Source organism: Homo sapiens, chromosome 1 (genome assembly GCF_000001405.40).
Source record: "Homo sapiens chromosome 1, GRCh38.p14 Primary Assembly".
In the NCBI taxonomy this organism is placed as follows: Eukaryota; Metazoa; Chordata; class Mammalia; order Primates; family Hominidae; genus Homo; species Homo sapiens.
In genome coordinates this window covers 120795732-120818064 of record NC_000001.11, presented here as the reverse complement: position 1 = coordinate 120818064, position 22333 = coordinate 120795732, and the positions used below count along the sequence as shown (strand labels likewise).

The window sequence follows — 22333 nt, the reverse complement described above, 5'->3', positions numbered from 1 at the left end:
AAATCACTGTCCAGTCATAGCACAAGGACATAACTATTCTCAGTGCAAGAATAAGGATTCTGACAGGAATATTCTAGGTTGTCCTAGATTAACTTTGGTGAGAATTAGATGACCCTGCTTTCCAGACCCACAGGCCAAAATCTCCCTCTATGTGTAGACCATAATGCCATATTCCCTGCTTGAGTCAAAGTTAAACAAAATTTTTTCCCCAAAAAAATCTCCAAAAATTGGTCAAACAATTTTCTAAGAGTGTTGCTGCGATATGGACTTATATCACCAGGTAACATGGACATTAAATGTTTAGAGGCATCTATACATGAAACACGACTGATAGATAAATTTGAACAACTCTTGCTTTAAAAAGAATCTGTGATTTGGGAGGCCAAGACAGGTGAATCATTTGAGGTCATGAGTTCAGGACTACCCTGGCCAATATGGGGAAACCCTGTCTCTACTAAAAATACAAAAATTAGCCAGATGTGATGTTGTGCACCTGTGGTCCCAGCAACTCAGGAGGCTGAGGCAGGAGAATCACTTGAATCTGGGAGGCAGAGGTTGCACCAAGCCAAGATGGTGCCACTGCACTCCAGCCTGGGTGACAGAGCAAGACTCCATCGCAAAAAAAAAAAAAAAAAAAAAAAAAAAAAAATCCACGATGCTACAAAGAAACATTGGATCAGCCATTGCATTGACAGGGTGGAGAACCAGGGTCCAGCCTTGCTTTATGGAAATATATCAGCAAAGTAAAGAAGAAAAGTTTCTGTCCTGATTTCAGGGTGACTGTGCAGCTAAGCAAGCTGACTTAAAGGAGATCCAGATGAAAGCTGAGAGCAGTGAAGCCTGGTGAACAATATTTCCAAATACAAAGGCAAGGCTGCCAGCTTCCTTAAACAGGCATAGAAACTCCATGGACATTGTTCAGGGACAGATGACTTAATCACAGATGACAAGAGATATTGAATCGAAGCTAGGAGGCCTGACAGATACTGCCTGTGCACCTCCTGCACTCAGGTGACTATGAGATTGTCACACTTGCCTGGGGTTGAGTAACTTGATACTGGGGACTGGCAGACAAAGTCATGACATTAGCTGAGAAGGACAAAAAACTCCCTGATATCTGTTTAGAAACCCATCACAGTTTTTTATTCAAATGAATTTGTGTTTATAGAGCCTGTCTTCAGAGTTTATCTTCCTCAGCCAAGAAAGAGGTATGAGACACAAGGAAAACAGAGGCTACCTGGAATAATGTGTACAGCATCCTCCCATTCAACATGAGAGGATGAGCCAATGAGAGTTGAGTCGACTTTGTCTTCCTCAAATGTGATTTTGGTTTTCCTATGTGGCTGGTTGCAGTCATAAGGGCCATGGCTATTTGAACAAGTGATGGCACATTCCTCCAGTGAGTCCTCAGGGACTTCCTTTTCTTCAGCCTTCTGCATCTCCCTGATGAGCCAGGTGGGACAGAGATGACAGAAGATTAAACACAGAGGGATTGGACCCCAGGGAGTCCTAGCTGGTTTTGACAGGCGGCATTAAGAGAGTGGTCCCAGAAAGCAAAATGGAGGTTCCCATTAAGAGGGAACATGCAATCCTGTTCTCTCTGCAACAGAGCATGGCTGCCATGGGAACCAGAGAGGAAGAGAGCAGCTGCTGTTCATTGCACTGGACAGATAGGAGCTGAGGAGGATGAAGACTCAGCTATCCCTGTACGGTGCAGACATGACACTCGGCACACATAGAGAAACATGACAGCTACCGCACCCTGTGTCTAAGCTGGGTTATATTTCACATACTGTGGCCAAGCGAATGCGGGTTTTTGGTCCATCATAGATGCCAGAGAGGGTGTGCCTCCTAGATATTCCTCATATGTTACCATCCATTAATTGTTCCTGAGTATTCAGTGTTACCTGGGGGCAGACGATTTCTGCACTTTCTCAGCCACCTCAACTTGAACATCTTCATCGTCATCGTTGTCATTTTCTGTAAATACAGAAGTGTTCGTTCAGATATTTCCCACTTCACAGTCTGCAAGCACAGTCAGCCCAATGTGCAACAGAGACATGAACATCTAGGCATGGGTCACCGTTCAACTGAAAACTCTCATGATTTATCTTTAACAGAATGCCCTGGCATGGTTTCCTGATCCATCAGGCAATGCATTTCTGATCTGGAGGGCCACCATCAAGATGTGGCCAAATATTGAAAAGACCTTTTGCTTCCCATATCACTGGAGGCTTGTGCAGCCTCTCTCTGGACGTTGGCAGCTGTCTCCCCCATCCTGCCAGATCTGATTCCCAGGCACAGGCTTGGTGTCCTGTCACGGTTTGCATTTCAAACCTAATTCTTTCTCTTAGAAGCAGACAAACTTGTCCCACAGTCCTCTATGCATCAGAAGATTTCAAGCCTCCAAGTGGCTTCTGCTGTGTTCTTCAGGGACATTCTATCCATGGGGAGTGCTCCAGTCTGAAGCACTTCCTACCACAAAACGCCCCCACATAAAGTGCCTTCTCCAACATCACACGGCGAGGGACTTCATCTCATTTTGGAAAGCAGTTGTAAGTGTTCCCACATTTGAATGCTTCAGACACTTGCAAGAGACAATTTGTCTGCCACGGAGAGAGAGAAACTCAGGAAGGACAAGTCATTCACTCTCTGACAGTTACTAAGAACATTGTCGAAAAGACAGCCTGGGAACCTTCATTCTTAGTCCAGAGCTCTTTTCACTCTAACAAGCCTGCTCCCATCCCAGCCTCCTTCCTGTCCTTTAAAACTAGATAGATGCTGCCTCTTGCTCCAAAGACCACCTTCCATCAAGGAAGGAGGGACACTTGCAATACTGTGACCTCCAACCCCATGGGTTTCCCATCTCTGTTCTTACCCAAGAAGTCCTGGTCATGTCATGGCCACATAAGCTTAGTGGAAAAAAACACCACTGATACAACTGTCATTGTGAAAGTATGGAGGTCTGGAGTCTCTCATAAGCCTGGGATTTTGGGTCATCAGGGCCTATGGCCACCTTACCTGGGCTGAGCTTTTGGACAAGGTGCTGTGCCAGTCTACACCCCTCAGCCAGCTGTTCTTGGAGGTCCTGCCCCTGGGACTTGTCCGGCTCATCCGGAGTGAGGAGGGCCTGGAGATGCTCATTCAATGAGCGGGAGGCATCTCTCCCTTCCCGCAACTTCTCCCTTAACTGGGTCAGCTCTCGTTCCTGAGCGTGAACCAGGACTTTATATTGCCTAAGGTGAGACGGTAGAGAAAATTTAAGAGTAGAAAGGGTTGAGTGATCCGCTCAAATATTGCAACAGAGATTTCTGAGACAATGTCCTCAAGGAGACCTCGAAGCAGAAGGTCAGCACATGTTTAAAGGAATGTCTGTGGCCAAGAGAAAGAATAGAAAATGGTTTACAGGCTTCCTCTGAATCAGAGAGGGCTCTTGCAAGATCCTCGATGATGTTCCATTCATCTTTCTCTTCTGTAAACAAAAGTAGGTGTCTTCCTAATTCCCTTTCAAAAAGACATCCTTTCAGTTCCTCACTCTGGCCATGGACATTTCCATGTGAAAATACACATAGTGCATCTTGCGGCCACTAGATACAAAGCCATGTACAGAAATGAGGCCAGGTGCAGATGGGGCGAATTGAAAAGAAGAAAGAAGAAAAGAATGACAGGGTCGAGAAGGCAACATTGATTGAGTGAAAGAATGAGAAGCCGCAGTCAGTCAGGAGGTGATTCTCACTAAGGGTAAGTGGGGTGGTGATGGCACACCATTTTGAGTATACTGAATGCTGCTGTGTGGTTCACACTCCTTTGGTTAATTTTGTGTTATGTAAATTTCACATCAACAATTACTTGTTTGAAAAAGAGAAAACAAGGCTCTGAGAAACAACTGCAACCCATACATTTTTACTATCCTCCTTCTCTGTTTGATAAATATTTGTGTGTAGCGAGCCTGCCATGGCAATTCCTGCCCTTCCCCTGGCCCAGCTTAGCTCTTACGTCTCCCCACCGAGCTGCTGTACTTCAGAGATTTACACACCTGCCCCCCTGCCTGCCCCCATGGGGTCCCCTCACCTGAGCTCCTCAGCTTGCTTGAGCTGCTCTGCAAGCTTCTCCTCCTTGAACTGTCGCTCATTCCTCAGCATAGATTTTATGAGATCTTTGCACTCTTCATATTCTGAGAAAAGACAGACACACCTGCCTCAGTGGAAGGCTGGACATGCTGCTGTGGTCATTGCCTACAGGACAGGAGCCAGGTCCATCCCAAGGACAAAACTCTCCCCAGTACCAGGGTCTAGACAGGGATTTCCACATCTTTACTCTTCAGTCTCCTGACTTTCTGGCATCTGATCCTCCAAAATTTAGAGATGAAGAAAGAGAACCTCAAGGGCACATCAAGGAAGTTGACAAGATGATTCAACCACAACGAAGTGGAGTCAGAATTCACAGTCCCTGAGGTCTGACTCTGAATGCGGGGCCACTTTCCCAAGCCTTGCAGCCTCTCCTCTAAAACACTGCACTGGGGCATGAAGTAGTGATTTCTTGTACAGTTGGGAAAGCCCCTAGGACTATGGGACTGATGGTTTCCCTTTTACTGGGAATTTCAAGGACAAGTATGCGAAAGATTTTTAAAATCTTTGATTTTTAAATCATATCTCCAGTTATGATTTTAAGAATCATATCTGAAGCATAAAGTGTGACACATAACACCATTAGGCCATGAAGGAAATATGCCCAAATGTTAATAAAGTTTGTGTTAATTTAGAAACAGCAGAATGAAGAACTAATAGATAGTGTTTACTCTGTGCCAATAAATGTTCTAGGAGATTGACAAGAAATAGCTCATGTAATTCACTGCAGCAATTTACAGAGGTAGGTATTATTGTAGTACCCTCTGAACAGGTGAGGAAACTGAGGGACAGACAAGACAAGCAACTTGGATGGAGCCCAGGAGACAGGCCCACGGTCCCTGCTCTGTACACTGCACTGCTATCTCCACACATTCTCGGGTGCGATCTTTCTTCCTCTTTAGCAACAAGACTCTGTGCCCCAGGAAGCAGGACTTCACTCTCACCAAGCTACTCTCTGCTTTTTATTCTTATTTTTATTTATTATTATTATTATTATTATTATTATTATTATTATTTTTAGCAGTCTTGCCCTGTCGCCCAGGCTGGAGTGCAATGGCAAAATCTTGGCTCACTGCAACCTCAGCCTCCTGGGTTCAAAGGATTCTCCTGCCTCAGCCTCCTGAGCAGGGGTGATTACAGTCACCTGCCACCACGCCCATCTACTTTTTGTATTTTTAGTGGAGATGGGGTTTCTCCATGTTGCCCAGGCTGGTCTCAAACTCCTGACCTCATGATCTGCCCGCCTCAGCCTCCCAAAGTGCTGGGATTACAGGAGTGAGCCACCATGCACGGCCCCTACTCCCTGCTCTTGATGCTGTCATTTATAGACAGCACAGGTTCTATTAGGGGTAGACTCCTCTTGAAGCCCCTCAGAGCAGGTACTGGCTACTATCACCAAGTTTCCCTCAGAGTCACTAGAACAGAGCTTTGCCTGTTGGGCCTCAACAGAAACTTGAACTGAATAAAAGTTCACTAGTCTCAGACATTTAGAACAACAGACTAGATGTTATTTGTCTGCAGGATCTTATATGGTACAGAGAGGATTCTTGAAAACACGATTGAGCCTCTTGGAGAAAACAGGTCATTCTGTGCCTGTGTCAGAAATCAATAAATGGCAGTTTAACTCTAGTCCCACCCCCACCTGATTGCAAACATGGAAAGTTGCTAAATACTTTGGTACCTCTGTCTTCCAACTTTGACAAAATGTTAAAATACCCATTTCTGTTTTCCTAGAAGTACGGGGAGGATGACATTATTTTTGATGGAGAGAGCATTTAGTGTCTCAGAGAGAAGACAGGACCTCGTTCATCACTTTCGTGATGGTGAGCCAATAGATCTTACTGTATTTGTTCTGCTGGTTGGCCAGGAAGCCGGCCAGTTGAGTTAGAAAACATTTCTCTTTGAGGTTTCTGAACTGCTGTTTCTTCTCTGCCAGCTGGGGGCGCAATTTCTCATTGATTTCTAGAATGTTTATCGCTGCCTTCTCGCCGGACAAAGGGCCGGCTGATACCACCATGCTGACGTTTGTGGCAGAAGAGGTGGGGCCAGGGACTGGGGAGAAGAAAGGCAAACACATGATGGGTTAAAAACTGGTGAAATCAAATAGGCTTAATCAGGACTGAGGGATGTCACTGGTAGCCTTGTTTACTTATTTGAAGATGTTTCCCTGGTTTCACTCTTGTCATCTCCAGTCTTGATCTCCTTTAAGTCAACTTGTCTTAGCTATGCAGTCACCTTGAAACCAAGACATAAACACTTCTACACTTTTCTTGCTTATACGTTTCTATAAAGCAAGGCTTGGCCCTGAGATTTTTACCCCATGAGTGGCCAATGTTTCTGTGTAGCACAAAAGATTTCGTTTTGCTTAATTTTCTTTTTTGGTTTTTTTGTTTGAGACGGAGTCTCACTCTGTCGCGCAGGCTGCAGTGCAGAGGCACAATCTCAGCTCACTGCCACCTCTGCCGCCCGGGTTCAAGTGATTCTCATCCCTCAGCCTGCCAAGCATCTGGGATTACAAGCGCCAAGTAACATGCCAGCTAATTTTTGTATTTTTAGTAGAGATGGGGTTTCGCCATCTTGGACAGGCTGGTTTTGAACTCCTGAGCTCAGGTGTTCCGCCCACCTCGGCCTCCCAAAGTGTTGGGATTAAGATGTGAGCCAGCGCCCCTGGTCAGAGACTTTTTTTTTTTGAGATGGAGTCTCGCTCTGTCTCCCAGGCTGGAGTGCAGTGGCACAATCTTGGCTCACTGCAAGCTCCGGTTCCTGGGTTCATGCCATTCTCCTGCCTCAGCCTCCTGAGTAGCTGGGACTACAGGCACCCACCACCACACCCAGCTAATTTTTTTTTTTTTTGTATTTTTAGTAAAGACGGGGTTTCACCGTGTTAGCCAGGATGGTCTCAATCTCCTGACCTCATGATCCACCCGCCTCGGCCTCCCAAAGTGCTCGGATTACAGGTGTGACCCACTGCGCCCAGCCGAGACTTATTAATAGCTAAGACAAGCCAATGAAAAGGAGAGAGAGTCTAGCCTGACAGAAGTGAATTAGAGTGGGAGGATCATCTCAGCCCATCCTCCCACCTAAGTCTCCTGAGCAGTTGGGACTATAGGCATGCAGCACCATGCCTGCCTAATTTTTTGTATTCTTTGTAAAGATGGGTTTCACCATATTGTGTAGGCTGGTCTTCAACTCCTGAACTCAAGTCATCGTCCCACTTGGGCCTTCCAAAGTGCTGTGATTATATGTGTGAGTCACAGCACCTAGCTCCATCCCAGTTTCTGACTAAAACAATAACAATATGTGTATATACAGCCTGTCCTCAGAATTGACCTTCCATAGCCTAGACAGAGGTATGAGACACAAGGAAAATAGAGGCTACCTGGGAGAATGTTTAGAGCATCCTGACATTCATCATGAGAGGATTCTCTGTCTACAACCAGAGTTGAGTTGACTTCGTCTTCCTCAAATGTGATTTTGATGTTCTTGTGAGGCTGGTTGGAGTCACAAGGGCCGTGGCTATTTGAACAAGTGATGGCACATTCCTCCAGTGAGTCCTCAGGGACTTTGCTCTCTTCAGTCTTCTGCACCTCCCTGATGAGCCAGGTGGGACAGAGATGACAGAAGATTAAACACAGAGGGATTGGACCCCATGGAGTCCTAGCTGGTTTTGACAGGCGGCATTAAGAGAGTGGTTCCAGAAAGCAAAACGGAGGTTCCCTTAAAGAGGAAACAGGCAATCCGCTTCTCTCTGCAACAGAGCATGGCTGCCATGGGAGCCAGAGAGGAAGAGAGCAGCTGGTGTTCAGTGCACTGGACAGATAGGAGCTGAGGAGGATGAAGACTCAGCTATCCCTGTATGGTACAGACATGACACTTGGCACACATAGAGAAACACGACAGCTGCCGCACCCTGTGTCTAAGCTGGGTTGAATTTCACATACTGTGGCCAAGGGGATGTGGGCTTTTGGCCCACCATAGATGCCAGAGAGGGTGTGCCTCCTAGACATTTTCATATGTTACCACCCATTACTTGCTCCTGAGTATTCAGTGTTACCTGGGGGCAGATGATTCCAGTACTTTCTCATCCTCCTCAACTTGAACATCTTCATCCTCATCTTCGTCATTTTCTATAAATACAAAATGTTCGTTCAGATATTTCCCACTTCACATTCTGCAAGCACAGTCAGCCCAACGTGCACAGAGACATGAACATCTATGTATGGTTCAGCATTGTACTGAAAACTCTCATGTTTTATCTTTCACAAAATGCCCTGGCATGGTTTCCTGCTCCATCGGGCAATGCATTTCTGATGTGGAGGGCCACCATCAAGATGTGGCCAAATACTGAAAAGACCTTTTGCTTCCCATATCACTGGAGGCTTGTGCAGCCTCTCTCTGGACTTTGGCAGCTGTCTCCCCCATCCTGCCACAGATCTGATTCCCAGGAACAGGCTTGGTGTCCTGTCACAGTTCGCATTTCAAACCTCATTCTTTCTCTTAGGAGAGGACAAACTTGTCCCACAGTCCTCTATGCGTCATGAGACTGCACAGGCCCTCCATGTGGCTTCTGCTGTGTTATTCAGGGACATTCTATCCATGGGGAGTGCTCCAGTCTGAAGCACTTCCTACCACCAAATGACCCCACATCAAGTGCCTTCTCCAACACCACATGGAGAGGGGCTTCATCTCATTTTGAAAAGCATTCGTAAGTGTTCCCATATTTGGATGCTTCAGACCCTTGCAAGAGACAATTTGTCTGCCTTTGCAGATGGAGAGAGAGAAACTCTGGAAAGATAAATCACTCACTCACTGACACTTACTAAGAACATTGCCAAAAAGACAGCCTGGGAACCTTCATTCTTAGCCCAGAGCTCTTTTCACTCCAACAAGCGCCCTCCCATCACAGCCTCCTTCCTGTCCTTTAAAACTAGATAGATGCTGCCTCTTGCTCCAAAGACCACCTTCCATCAAGGAAGGAGGGACACTTGCAATACTGTGACCTCCAAACCCATGGGTTTCCCATCTCTGTGCTTACCCAGGAAGTCCTGATCATGTCATGGCCACATAGGTGTAGTAGAAAAAAACCCCACTGATACAACTGTCATTGTGAAAGTATGGAGGTCTGGAGCCTCTCATAAGCCTGGGGTTTTGGGTCATCAGGGCCTATGGCCACCTTACCTGGGCTGAGCTTTTGGACAAGGTGCTGTGCCAGTCTACACCCCTCAGCCAGCTGTTCTTGGAGGTCCTGCCCCTGGGACTTGTCCGGCTCATCCGGAGTGAGGAGGGCCTGGAGATGCTCATTCAATGAGCGGGAGGCATCTCTCCCTTCCCGTAACTTCTCCTTTAACTGCGTCAGCTCTCGTTCCTGAGAGTGAACCAGGACTTTATATTGCCTAAGGTGAGACGGTAGAGAAAATTTAAGAGTAGAAAGGGTTGAGTGATCCGTTCAAATATTGCAACAGAGACTTCTGAGACAATGTCCTCAAGGAGACCTTGAAACAGAAGGTCAGCACACGTTGAAAGGAATGTCTGTGGCCAAGAGAAAGAATAGAAAATGGTTTACAGGCTTCCTCTGTATCAGAGAGGGCTCCTGCAAGATCCTCGATGATGTTCCATTCATCTTTCTCTTCTGTAAACAAAAGTAGGTGTCTTCCTAATTCCGTTTCAAAAAGACATCCTTTCAGTTCCTCACTCTGGCCATGGACATTTCCATGTGAAAATACACATAGTGCATCTTGCGGCCACTAGATACAAAGCCATGTACAGAAATGAGGCCAGGTGCAGATGGGGCGAATTGAAAAGATGAAAGAAGAAAAGAATGACAGGGTCGAGAAGGCAACATTGATTGAGTGAAAGAATGAGAAGCCGCAGTCAGTCAGGAGGTGATTCTCACTAAGGGTAAGTGGGGTGGTGATGGCACACCATTTTGATTATACTGAATGCTGCTGGGTGGTTCCCACTCCTTTGGTAAATTTTGTGTTATGTAAATTTCACATCAACAATTACTTGTTTGAAAAAGAGAAAACAAGGCTCTGAGAAACAACTGCAACCCATACATTTTTACTATCCTCCTTCTCTGTTTGATAAATATTTGTGTGTAGCGAGCCTGCCATGGCAATTCCTGCCCTTCCCCTGGCCCAGCTTAGCTCTTACGTCTCCCCACCGAGCTGCTGTACTTCAGAGATTTACACACCTGCCCCCCTGCCTGCCCCCATGGGGTCCCCTCACCTGAGCTCCTCAGCTTGCTTGAGCTGCTCTGCAAGCTTCTCCTCCTTGAACTGTCGCTCATTCCTCAGCATAAATTTTATGAGGTCTTTACACTCTTCATACTCTGAGAAAAGACAGACACACCTGCCTCAGTGGAAGGCTGGACATGCTGCTGTGGTCATTGCCTACAGGGCAGGAGCCAGGTCCATCCCAAGGACAAAACTCTCCCCAGTACCAGGGTCTAGACAGGGATTTCCACATCTTTACTCTTCAGTCTCCTGACTTTCTGGCATCTGATCCTCCAAAATTTAAAGACGAAGAAAGAGAAACTCAAGGGCGCATCAAGGAAGTTGACAAGATGATTCAACCACAACGAAGTGGAGTCAGAACTCACAGTCCCTGAGGTCTGACTCTGAATGCGGGGCCACTTTCCCAAGCCTTGCAGCCTCTCCTCTAAAACACTGCACTGGGGCATGAAGTAGTGATTTCTTGTACAGTCGGGAAGGCCCCTAGGACTATGGGACTGATGGTTTCCCTTTTACTGGGTATTTCAAGGACAAATATGTCAAGGACTTTAAAAATATTTCATTTTTAAATCAATATTCAGATATGGTTTTAAGAATCATATCTGAAGCATAAAGTGTGAGACATAAGACAATAAGGCCATGAAGGAAATATGCCCAAATACTTTATTAGTATGAGAGGCAGCATTAAGATTTAGATTAGTTGTGTTAATTTAGAAACAGCATAAGCTTAGTTAGTGTTAATTTAGAAACATCAGAATGAAGAATAGATAGTGTTTACACTGTGCCAATTAATGTTCAAGGAGATTGACAGGAAATACCTCATGTAATTCATTGCAGCAATTTACAGAGGTAGGTATTATTGTAGTACCCTCTGAACAGATGAGGAAACTGAGGGACAGACAAGACAAGCAACTTGGATGGAGCCCAGGAGACAGGCTGAGGGTCCCTGCTTTGCACACTGCACTGCTGCTTCCACACATTCTCGGGTGTGATCTTTCTTCCTCTTTAGGAACAAGAGCCTGTGCACCAGGAAGCAGGACTTCACTCTCACCAAGGTACTCTCTGCTTTTTATTTTTATTTTTGATTTATTTATCGTTTTGTTTGTTTGTTTTTTGACGAGTCTTGCCCTGTCACCCATGCTGGAGTTCAATAGTGCAATCTTGGCTCACTGCAACATCTGCCTGCTGGGTTCAAAGGATTCTTCTGCCTCAGCCTCCCGATTAGTGGTGATTACAGTTGCCCGCCACGATGCCCATCTACTTTTTGTATTTTTAGTGGAGATGGGGTTTCTCCATGTTGCCCAGGCTAGTCTCAAACTGCTGACCTCGTGCTCTGCCCGCCTCAGCCTCCCAAAGTGCTGAGATTATAGGAGTGAGCCACGTTGCACGGCCCCTACTCCCTGCTCTTGATGCTGTCACTTATAGATAGCACAGGTTCTATTAGGAGCAGACTCCCCTTGAAGCCCCTCAGAACAGGTACTGGGTACTATCACCAAGTTCCCCTCAGAGTCACTAGAACAGAGCTTTGCCTGTTGGGCCTCAACAGAAACTTGAACTGAATAAAAGTTCACTAGTCCTAGACATTTAGAACAACAGACTAGATGTTATTTGTCTGCAGGATCTTATATGGTACAGAGAGGATTCTTAAAAACATGATTGAGCCCCTTGGAGAAAACAGGTCATTCTGTGCCTGTGTTAGAAATCAATAACTGTGAGTTTAACTCTAGTTCCACCCCCATCTGATTGCAAACATGGAAAGTTGCTAAATATTTTGGTACCTCTGTCTTCCAACTTTAACAAAATGTTAAAATACCCATTTCTGTTTTCCTAGAAGTACAGGAAGGATGAAATTCTTTTTGATGGAGAGAGCATTTAGTGTCTCAGAGAGAAGACAGGATATCATTCATCACTTTCATGATGGTGAGCCTATAGATCTTACTGTATTTCTTCTGTCGGTTGGCCAGGAAGCCGGCCAGTTGAGTTAGAAAACATTTCTCTTTGAGGTTTCTCAACTGCTGTTTGTTCTCTGGCAGCTGGGGGCGCAATGTCTCGTTGATTTCTAGAATGTTCATCTCTGCCTTCTCACTGGACCAATGGCCGGCTGATACCACCATGCTGACGTTTGTGGCAGAAGAGGTGGAGTCAGGGACTGGGGAGAAGAAACCCAAACATATGATGGGTTAAAAACTGGTGAAATCAAATCGGTTTAATCAGGACTGAGGGATGTCAGTAACTGAAATTCTTACCTTACTGTTGTGAAAAATGTGATCACTCCCCACAGCACTTTAGGATCCTTCACCACAAAAACAAGGTTCGAGGTGCCTCAACTCAGAGCTGAAAGCACTGCCAGTAGCTCAGACTCTGATAAGAGTGAGGCAGAATGTGGCCAGCGTGCCAGGTAACCGTCTGCAGTTGCAATAACAGAATTAGAAGGTGGGGGTGTCATGGAAACTTAGGAGCCCTGCATTCCAATTGCCCAGGCTTTGCTGAAACACAGGCACCCTAGTCTCACCTGAGGGTCACCACCAATGGGGATCATTCCTTCAGCATTCACTCTCAGTATTCGTGTACCCTTGTTGACAATGCCACAGACCCGTGTCTTTCCCAATACATCTAAGCATATTCCTCACTGTTTATCTCTTGTCTGTACAACATCATCAAGGCAGAAACAGTTTCCCAACAGGTTATATTTTCTTAATGGTAGTCATGAAGTCACCCCACCTGCTCTCAGTTAAAACAGAGCTTAAGGCTTTTCCACAGGTGTAAGATATCAAACTTTTAGCCTGCCCTGATATCCTCCGGGTCTTCTGCAGTTTTTTCTGTATCCACTAGAAAGTGAATGAATAATTCATTTTTTAAAAATATTTTCTTTCCTGTCTCAGTATTCTTGCTGCTGCATCCCATTGTTAGATTGATTTCTTCTTTCTTACTGGGGCACCTTCTTGGGTTTTCATTACATTCTAGACCAGTTTGACATCCCTACGTCCAAAGCTCTTCCTCTATGTGGGTTGATGTGTTTTTTAATGTCACTGAGCACTACATTTTAAACTTGTCACTTATAGATGTCATTCTAGTGCCACAAGACCTCTTTTCAAGGTATCAAGTGATCAAATCATTTATATAGAGGTCTCCTGAAAACATGTGTGACCATCTATCTTGGGAAGTTTTGTAAACCTGATACTATTTTGTTGTTTCCATTTTGTTTTCCCATATACTGAAAAGAACAGGGCCACGAGCAGTTCTTATGGAATATGGTTTGATATATATTTTGTTGAGATGACCTAACACCATTGATTTTGGGTTGCATTCCACTAACAGAACATGGCAAGATCAAGGTTATGGTCAGGGTTGGTTGGCGATCCTCAGTGTTGCTGTGCAGTAGAAGGTGAGTTTGAGGTGAGAGGAACAAGTAGGAAACAGTGATCCTCTGAACCACCTCTTCGCTTTCTCAGCTTTCATCCCCACCTACGTTTTGTGAGCCTGGAACTTGAGAGACTGTTCTGTAGCCCAGGTCTCCTAAGATTGGCTGCTGGACTTGCCTGAGTTGAGGGTGCAGTGGGTTGACCCTGGGCTGCCCAGCATTCATGTGGAAGTGAAGGAAGGAGGACTGGTTAATCCCATTTGAAAGCATCCCTCTCTGCAGCCCGCACCATCTTCCAGTGACACTGTAAGGATACTGCTTTGAGATGTATCAAAGGCTTTAAGTCAATGTATTTTCTAGGGTCTGGGAGACCTGACATTCTGTGTCAGAATGAAAATCTGTCAAGTTTCTAAATGAAAAAACTGCAGGTTCACAAAGTGTCATGGGTTACTTGAGGTCACAAAGGGATGAGTTTTCAGCACTGCCAATAAAAGCAATCACAATAATTATTCAGTAATTATTCATAGGATCCATACAATCCAGTAAATATTCACATATTTAGTAATTATTCATTGACCAATTCGTACAAGGCATTTTGCTCAAAACTGTGTTTATATTTGGACATTGTATCTTCATCATAATCCTTAAGGTAATGCTATTATCTACAAGTAACAGATAAGAAACCTGAAGATGAGGGACAGCTAATCACGTATTTGGCCATATTTCCATTTTTTGGTTTTTGTGATGCTGGAAGAATGACCAGAATGGGTCACGGGAAGAGTATTCATTCCTGTATTATTTTCCAGGACAGAGGTGTGCCCTTCTAGAGTACTGGGACCAAAATTCAGAAGTGTCTGAAACCTTGCTTTAACAGTATGGGAAATAACCTCTATCACCTGGAATTTCCCTGGAACTTTGGAATATACAAGAGAAGTATGAGACATGGGTCTTCCCTTGGCTGTGTTTAATTCACTCTTCTATGGAATACCAATGATTCTCACTAAGACTTTTGCCTTTTTATAACCACAATGTATGTCTTATGGAGAAGATTTTACACTTTGCTCTATTTAGAAAGAATAAATATGAGCAATAGTTTTAGGTTTTATGCCCTGGACTTCATATTTTTCTGATTTCTGTTTTGAGATTAAATTCTCATGTAAATAGAAAAATACTTATTATTTCTCATCAGGCCAAGTTTGTTATCAGCTTGAGTTTTTGAAGATGAAGCACAAACTTTTGATTTTATCTTTGTCCTCATCAGCGCCACTCATTGTCTCTCAGTATGACCTGGACTTGCCCCTGCATTTACCCTCATCCTGCTGAGCCATCTCCATGCACTGCCCAATTCCATCAGTGATTCGGGGTCCTCCCAAGGCTCCCTGAAATGTGCACAGGGATCAGGACGTCAGACACATTCCAGACACAAAGGCAACCCACACTGTAGAGTGAGCAGCTGTGTTCCCACTTCCCTAATGTTCCAGTGATGTCCTCAAACTGAAGGGAACACTTTCCCTTTTTAAGGGTCTGTTCTTCATGTCTCAATGCCTCTGATCTAGTGAACACAACTGTCCTGAAACTGAAAGAACCTGTTAAATTTCGAGTTTCTAGTTAGGTGGCTAGAATAGGTTTATAAGACTTCCTTACTTACCTATGACTGCTGAAGTTTGAATTCTTAGCAGTATGATTCCTTTTCTTGTAAGCTGAGCAGCTTAGGAAAGATTGGCCATGTTGCTGTGCAAAAAGAGGTAAACTTAATTTATATTCAAAGCATGCTTGAATTTGAAACTAGGGCTTCCACTCTTCCAAAGTTGGACTGTCACTACCTCAGGCATGTGTCCCGAAGGGCTCATGTCTCTGTTGTACTCAAAGTTCAAATGGAGTCCAGCAAGCCAGATCTCCTTTACTTCTAGGTTCACTCAACAGTTTCTCCTCTGCTTTAGAGACTGCCTTGAAAATCTTCTTGTCCTGCTGTTGTGTTTTGGCTTTGGAATGATGTGATGCAGCTCAATGGGTCCTACCCCCAAGTTGATCAGAGTAAGAAACAGCTGGGAAAGTCAGTGCAAATTCAAGTTCATCGTCCTCCTTACAGGGATTCTCATTCAGAGGGCTCAGGTGGGGCCTGGAATGTGTTTGTTAACATGACTCAGATGTGCAGTCAGTTTGGGGACCCGCTGATACCATCGACCTTATAGTTTATGGGATGATTCTGTTTTGCTGATAAAGAAACTGAGGCATAGACAGTCTGTAACTTGCCCAAGTTCCCCTTGCTGTAAGTCCTGGAGCCAGATCTCAGGTGGAGCAGCCTCTTCCCCATCCCCTTCCCACATTTTCCAATTCAGCTGGGTCAATTCTTTCCAAGTACGTGTTTCTCTCCCCTATACCTCATTTCTGAAAAAAGGAGAACTGGAATTTAACTTCTTTCATCTAATACATTTCCTCACAACATGCTACCAGCATCATATTCTGGCCTCTTACTATTAAAGTGAGATGCCTTTTTTTTTTTTTTTTTTTTTTTTTGAGACAGGGTCTTGTTCTGTCACCCAGGCTGGAGTGCAGTGGTGATTATAGATCACTGCAACCTTGAACTCCTAGGCTCAAGCGATCCTCCTGCCTCAGCTTTCCAAGTAGTTGGAACTCTAGGCACACATCACCATTTCTGGCTAGTTTTTTATTTTTCATGGAGACAAGGTCTTGCTATGTTGCTCAGGCTGGTTTTGAACTTCTGGCCTCAAGCGATCCTCCCACCTAGGCCTCCAAAAGTGCTGGGATTACAGGAGTAAACCACTGAGCCTGGCCCTGAAATGCTTTTTTTTTTTTTTTTTAATGAAAATACAAGGCATGGAGATGTGGAAAGACACCTTGCTTTATTACTGTTATTATTAGTTCTATAGTATAATTCATATATCACAAAAATCACCATTTTTAAGCATATATTTCAGTGTCTTTTACCATATTCCAAAAGTTCTGCAACCATCACCACTACCTAATTCCAGTATATTTTCATAATGCCAAAAAGCATGCCTGTACCTATGGGCAGTCACTCTCCAATTCCCCACTTCTTGCAGTCTCTGACAACCACTAATCTACTTTCTCTATATATAGATGTACTTGTTCTGGGCACTTAATTCAACAAATGGTCCTGGGACAACTAAATATCCACATGTAAAAGAATCAAGTTAGACTCCCTCCTCGCACATAAAAATTAACTCAAAATGGATCAGAGACCTAAAGGTAGGTGGTAAAATTATAAATCACTTAGAAATAGTAAATCTTTGTAATGTGGGATAAGCAAAGTTTTCACAAATATGACTGAAAGCACAAGCAACAAAAGAAAAAATAAATTGTATTCCATCAAGTTAAAAACATTTGGGCTGAAAAGTATATCATCAAGAATGTGAAAAGACAGTACATAGAATGACAGAAAATATCTGCAAATCATATTATCTGATAAGAGACTTGTATTTAGGATATATTTTTTAAAAACTATTACAGTTCAATATTAAAAAGATAAACCAATTATAAAGTAGGTAAAGGATCTGAACAGACATTCTCCAAAGAAGATACATAATGACTAATAAGTATATGAAAAGATGTTGAAAATCATCAACCATCAGGGAAATGTAAATCAAAACCACAATGAGATAAACACTTCACATTACAGATGAATATAATAAAAAAGACAGACAATAACAACTGTTGATGAGGATGTGGAGAAACTGGAATTCTCATACACTGCTGGTTGGAATGTAAAATAATGTACCCACTTCAGAACAGTCTGACAGTTCCTGAAAAGGTTAAACAGCATTACCATCTGAGGCAGCAATTCTGCTCCTAGGTATATATCCAAGAAATATGAAGATAAATGTTTACCAAAAAATTATACAAGAATGTTCATAACAGAATTATTGATAATACTCAAAAAGTAGAAGCAACTCAAATGTCAATCAACTGATGATGGATAAATAAAATGATAAAATGTGGTAAATCCATATGATAAAATATTATTCAGCCATAAAAAGGCACAGAGTACTGATAAATGCTACCACATCAATGAACTTTGAAAACCTCATGCTAAGTGAAAGAAGCTGTCATAAATTACTACATGCTGCATGTTTCCATTTGTATGAAATGTCCAGAAGAGGCAAATAAAGACAGAAAGTAGACTAGTAGTTGCCTAGGGCTGGGAGGGAGTTAGGAGGAATGGAGAGTAATTGATAATGGGTAAAGGGTTTCTTCTGATGTATAAAAATATTCTAGAATTGACTGTGGTGATGGTTACTCCTATCTACTAAAATTACTGAATTGTGTACTTTTTTAAGAAGTAAATTGTATGGTATATAAATTATATCTCAAAGCTATTGTATTAAGGGAAAAAGCACTAAACACAGTGCCTTACACATATTAGCTAATATTATTATTTGTCAGTGGTATTATAGCATTTGTTAGAGATTGTCTACTCTAATCCTTTTATGTTACAGATGAGGAAGTTGAGAGCCACATGGCTGACTTGACCAAGATTAAACGGCTAGTAAGTAGGAATAAGTACTGAAACAGAAACTTTACCCAATTGCAGTCCATATGTTTTCTGGGATCCCGGAGTTCCCTTTCAACAATGTAAAATACAAACTTAGGTCAAAAGTTCCCATGTCTGAGAAGACTCAAGCCAAATCAGTTCTCCTCCAAAGTTGACAGGATTTATGCTTTAAAAATAGAGATACAGAATTCTCTTTGGAAAGATCTACCAAATTCCTGTAAGAAACAGTCTACCCAAAGTAGGGGAAAGGCTATATGAAAAGTTACAAGGCACTTCTTAAAAATATATCTTAGGTTTTTAGGGAAAGGTAAACAGACAAGTTTCCAGACCCGTGGGTGGAATGGATGTAGCAGATTCACTGAGAGGCTCACAGTGCCGTACTAAAGGGAGTCTACTGCTTAAAGCCAATTCACATCCTTAAAAGGTCAAATGGAGAGAAATTAAACTTGGGAGAAGCATTTTAAGACTGTGCTGTTACAAAACCTCGGGCCACTTAACTGATTAATCATGGCAATGAGGGCAGGGACCAGAAAAGAGTCTTTAGAACCTGTCATCCCCACACAGAAGAGCAACTTTCAGGGAAACACCCTTATCTTTCCATTTTCAGACCCCGGGAGGTGTGAGGGTGGAAAGGCTAGGTAGAGAAGAGAGCAGAAAGGAGATGAGATGACACAACCAGGATTCTCCGAAGCTGGGCTTGAAGTCCTCAAGAAAAACTCCCATGAACAAGGAAGGAAGAGTGAAGAAAAAAACAGGGATACCTGGAACTGGACAAAAGTAAAAAGATAGAAGGATACTTTTTTTCCCCCAGAAGAAGTCTGTCACAAAAGCAAACCTGCAAATATACGATCAGTATAACACCCAAGAAAATGACACATGCGGCCAGGCATGGTGGCTCATGCCTGGAATCCCAGCACTTTGAGAAGCCGAGGCAGGTGGATCACCTGAGATCAGGAGTTCGAGGCCAACCTGACCAACATGGTGAAACCCCATCTCTACTAAAAATACAAAAATTAGCTGAGCATGGTGGCAGGCACCTGTAGTCCCAGCTACTTGGAAGGCTGAGACATGAGAATAGCTTGAACCCGGGAGGTGGAGGTTGCAGTGAGCCGAGATAGCGCCATTGCACTCCAGCCTGGGAGAAAGAGCGATGCTCCGTCTCAAAAAAAAAAAAAAAAAAGAAAAGAAAAGAAAAGAAAATGACGCATGCCCCCAAGTGTGAGAATGCAAGAGGGAATCCCTGACCTATCCCTATCCAACCAGTTTTCTTGGCACACACCTTCCATTCTCTGAATGAGCCCAGATTAACTCACTGACCCCTGTGCCACGTATCGCCCACTCCATCACCCGCCCAGGCTCACTGCTTCCACCTGCGTCCCTTCATATCTCCCTACTGACCTCCACTTTTTTCTAACTTTGTCACCAAAGAAGTCACAGAAATAAATAGGAGGATTCAAAAAGAATAATTTCAGTACATTTAAAAAATTGTAGAATATAGGATTCTCATCTATGTTTATCACGTTCAATTCATTCATTTTTCAAATTTTCATTGTGGCACCATTTTATGACAGGCACTATGCTGGGGATGCTGGCGACTAGGGTAGGGAGTTAAAATGAGAGTGTCTACTTGGAAAGATGAACAGATAAATAATCACCGTGATAAGTGCTGTGCTAGAGATATGCAGATGTCAAAAGACCTTAGAAGGTCTACAATCCACTTGGAGGGTAGGGAATATAGAAGGCATTTCAGTGAAATAGGGTGCCTTTGACAAATCATTAAGAATGAGTTCTACATTAAAAAGGGGAAGAGAGGGTGATAGCTGAGGAGGCAGCATAGGCAAGAACATCCAGCATGAAAGAACAGTGAGGGACATCAGGAACATCTTTCAGGAACATCAGGTAAAACAGACTTAGGGCCCAAGTCAAAGGAGCTAAAATAATACACCCTGGAAAGTGGTATGATCATTTCTGCATCTGCTTCAGAGAAACCTGCCAAAATATGATTAGCATAATACCCAAGAGAACATCACATTCCCCATGTGTGAAAATGCAAGAGGGAATTATTTCTAATAGTTCATAAGCTCAGCAACAACAGAGTAGACACAAAAGCCACAGAATGTGCTTAGGCTTTACTTTAATGATATAGGGATATCATATATCATCAGCCTGTGGAGTACAGAGGTAGTTTACAAAGGATAAACCTTCATTGTTTGGAAAGGAAAGATCAGAGAGCTCTTTATGAAGTTTAAACAAAATCAGAGAAATAAAGAGATGTGGGAAAGAAAGAAAAAAAAGAAAGTACATTGAGGACAGTCCAATCTAACTGTGAACTCATAAGGGACAGCCAGTAAATTCAAAACAGCCTACTGTTTTTTGATTACTTGTGCTACTCTATTAAAATAGCCACAAACACAAAACTAGTCTACCTCTTTCTCTCCCCATTATTGGCCCTAACCCAAAAATAGTGGGAGTAAATGATTTAATAATTTATTTTCATGCTCCATTTTGTTCTTAAGTTAAAATTACTGTGGTTGGTGCCCCTCCTTTAGCTTCTGCTAAAGACTTTACATAATGAAAGCTCATGAAGTGTCTGGATTACTAACAGTTACTTATCCAAAAAGATGAGACATGGTTCATTGATTTGATTCAATTAGTTCTCTCTTGAAGATATTTTTCTCCTCCCTCTGTGAAGAAACATTTCTTTCTGTGTCATACAAGACGAGTCATTTTTGTAGTTTTAATTCCCTCTTGAGTCCTACAATAATACTAAAATACTCACAGTGACTACAGTATCCTTTGCAGGGAAAAAATTGTAAATTAACCATTTAAATATAGTCACTAAGTTATGTGGCATTCACTGACTCAGAGTTGAAAAAGACTCCAAAATTCTTATCCAGTATTAGAGTATACAAGGACAGAAGGAGAGGCCAAACTAAGTCTAGGACGCACAATACAAAGAAGAAAATGAGAAGACCAAAGTTACAGTCTCAATACTATGACATGATACTAAACCATACAGTCAGTCAGCCAATATATATTTGCGGGCCTAGTATATACTGGGCACTGTTTGTAGGTGTTTGGGTTACATCAGTAAACAAAAACAAAGATACTAGTTTTCATTCTGGAGAGGGTAAGAGGCAGTAGAATTTGGAAAAGACAGACAATAAACAATAGACATAATGAAGTAAATTATATAGTATAAATTATATAGTAAGAAGATAAGAGTTACAGAAAAAGAAAACAAAAAGTAGACCAGGGTTAGTAATTAAGGGGGTGGGGGACAGTTACAATTTTAAATAGGGTGGTTAGAGTAACCCTCAATTAGAAGTGCCAAGACGTGAAATGCAGTGGAAGCAACCATTTGAAAGTTGCAGAATACTTTAACAAGCTACTTTGCCTCCTGCTGACTTTGCTTCCCCATTTTTAGAACTGAAATAATAATTCTCATCAAATAAGGGTGCTATTTACATTGAGATAGTGACTATTACTATAAGTAACATTTTAGTCTCTTGACAAGCATGGGAAGCAATGGAATGAAGGGCAATGGAAGGAAGGGCACTGCATTATGAAAAGGACTTTTTAAAAGAAAACCATCTCTAGGCACTATTTCCCTTTGTGGAAATGAAGTGAATATTTTCTGAACTCCACCTGGGACATACGAACAATGAGCATGAAATCTTACAAACTGTATAAATAACATTTATTCACAGTGTCACTGCATCATCTATTGTTTTGAATTCTCTTTAAATTTCCTTCTATATATTTATCCAAAGCTGAAGTCATCTGGTTTAGATTATGGGACCCTGAAAAGCAAGAACTAGTCTATGTAACTACTTTTAAACATCTGCACAACGGCATATACACACACACACACACACACACACACACATATTGATATGTAACAAGTACTATTTGATTATAATTAGGAGTGTCTTGGTTTTCTTATAACATGAACATATATTTTTAACCCAAACAGCTTAAAGCATTTAACGAAAAGTTTTACACACCTACAAAGTGCTTTCAGGAAGCAGATGTGCAGTGCAATGTGGCGCAGTAAGATGCACAAAGCAAAGGCTTT

At 42.8% G+C, this 22333-nt stretch overlaps 1 protein-coding gene across 3 annotated transcripts in view; it reads right to left on the bottom strand.

The window, feature by feature from the left end:
• Positions 1–22333, bottom strand: part of NBPF26 (NBPF member 26) — a 118285-nt gene that overhangs the window by 24165 nt on the left and 71787 nt on the right. For all 3 annotated transcript variants that reach the window (NM_001405520.1, NM_001351372.2, NM_001395637.2), the window contains exons 5-14: positions 12300–12509; positions 10356–10458; positions 9306–9520; positions 8182–8254; positions 7507–7718; positions 5970–6179; positions 4072–4174; positions 3022–3236; positions 1908–1980; positions 1238–1443 (exon numbers count right to left, since the gene is read on the bottom strand). In NM_001405520.1, the coding sequence (NP_001392449.1) occupies positions 1238–1443; positions 1908–1980; positions 3022–3236; positions 4072–4174; positions 5970–6179; positions 7507–7718; positions 8182–8254; positions 9306–9520; positions 10356–10458; positions 12300–12509 (1620 nt within the window). The remainder of the gene's footprint in view (positions 1–1237; positions 1444–1907; positions 1981–3021; positions 3237–4071; positions 4175–5969; positions 6180–7506; positions 7719–8181; positions 8255–9305; positions 9521–10355; positions 10459–12299; positions 12510–22333) is intronic.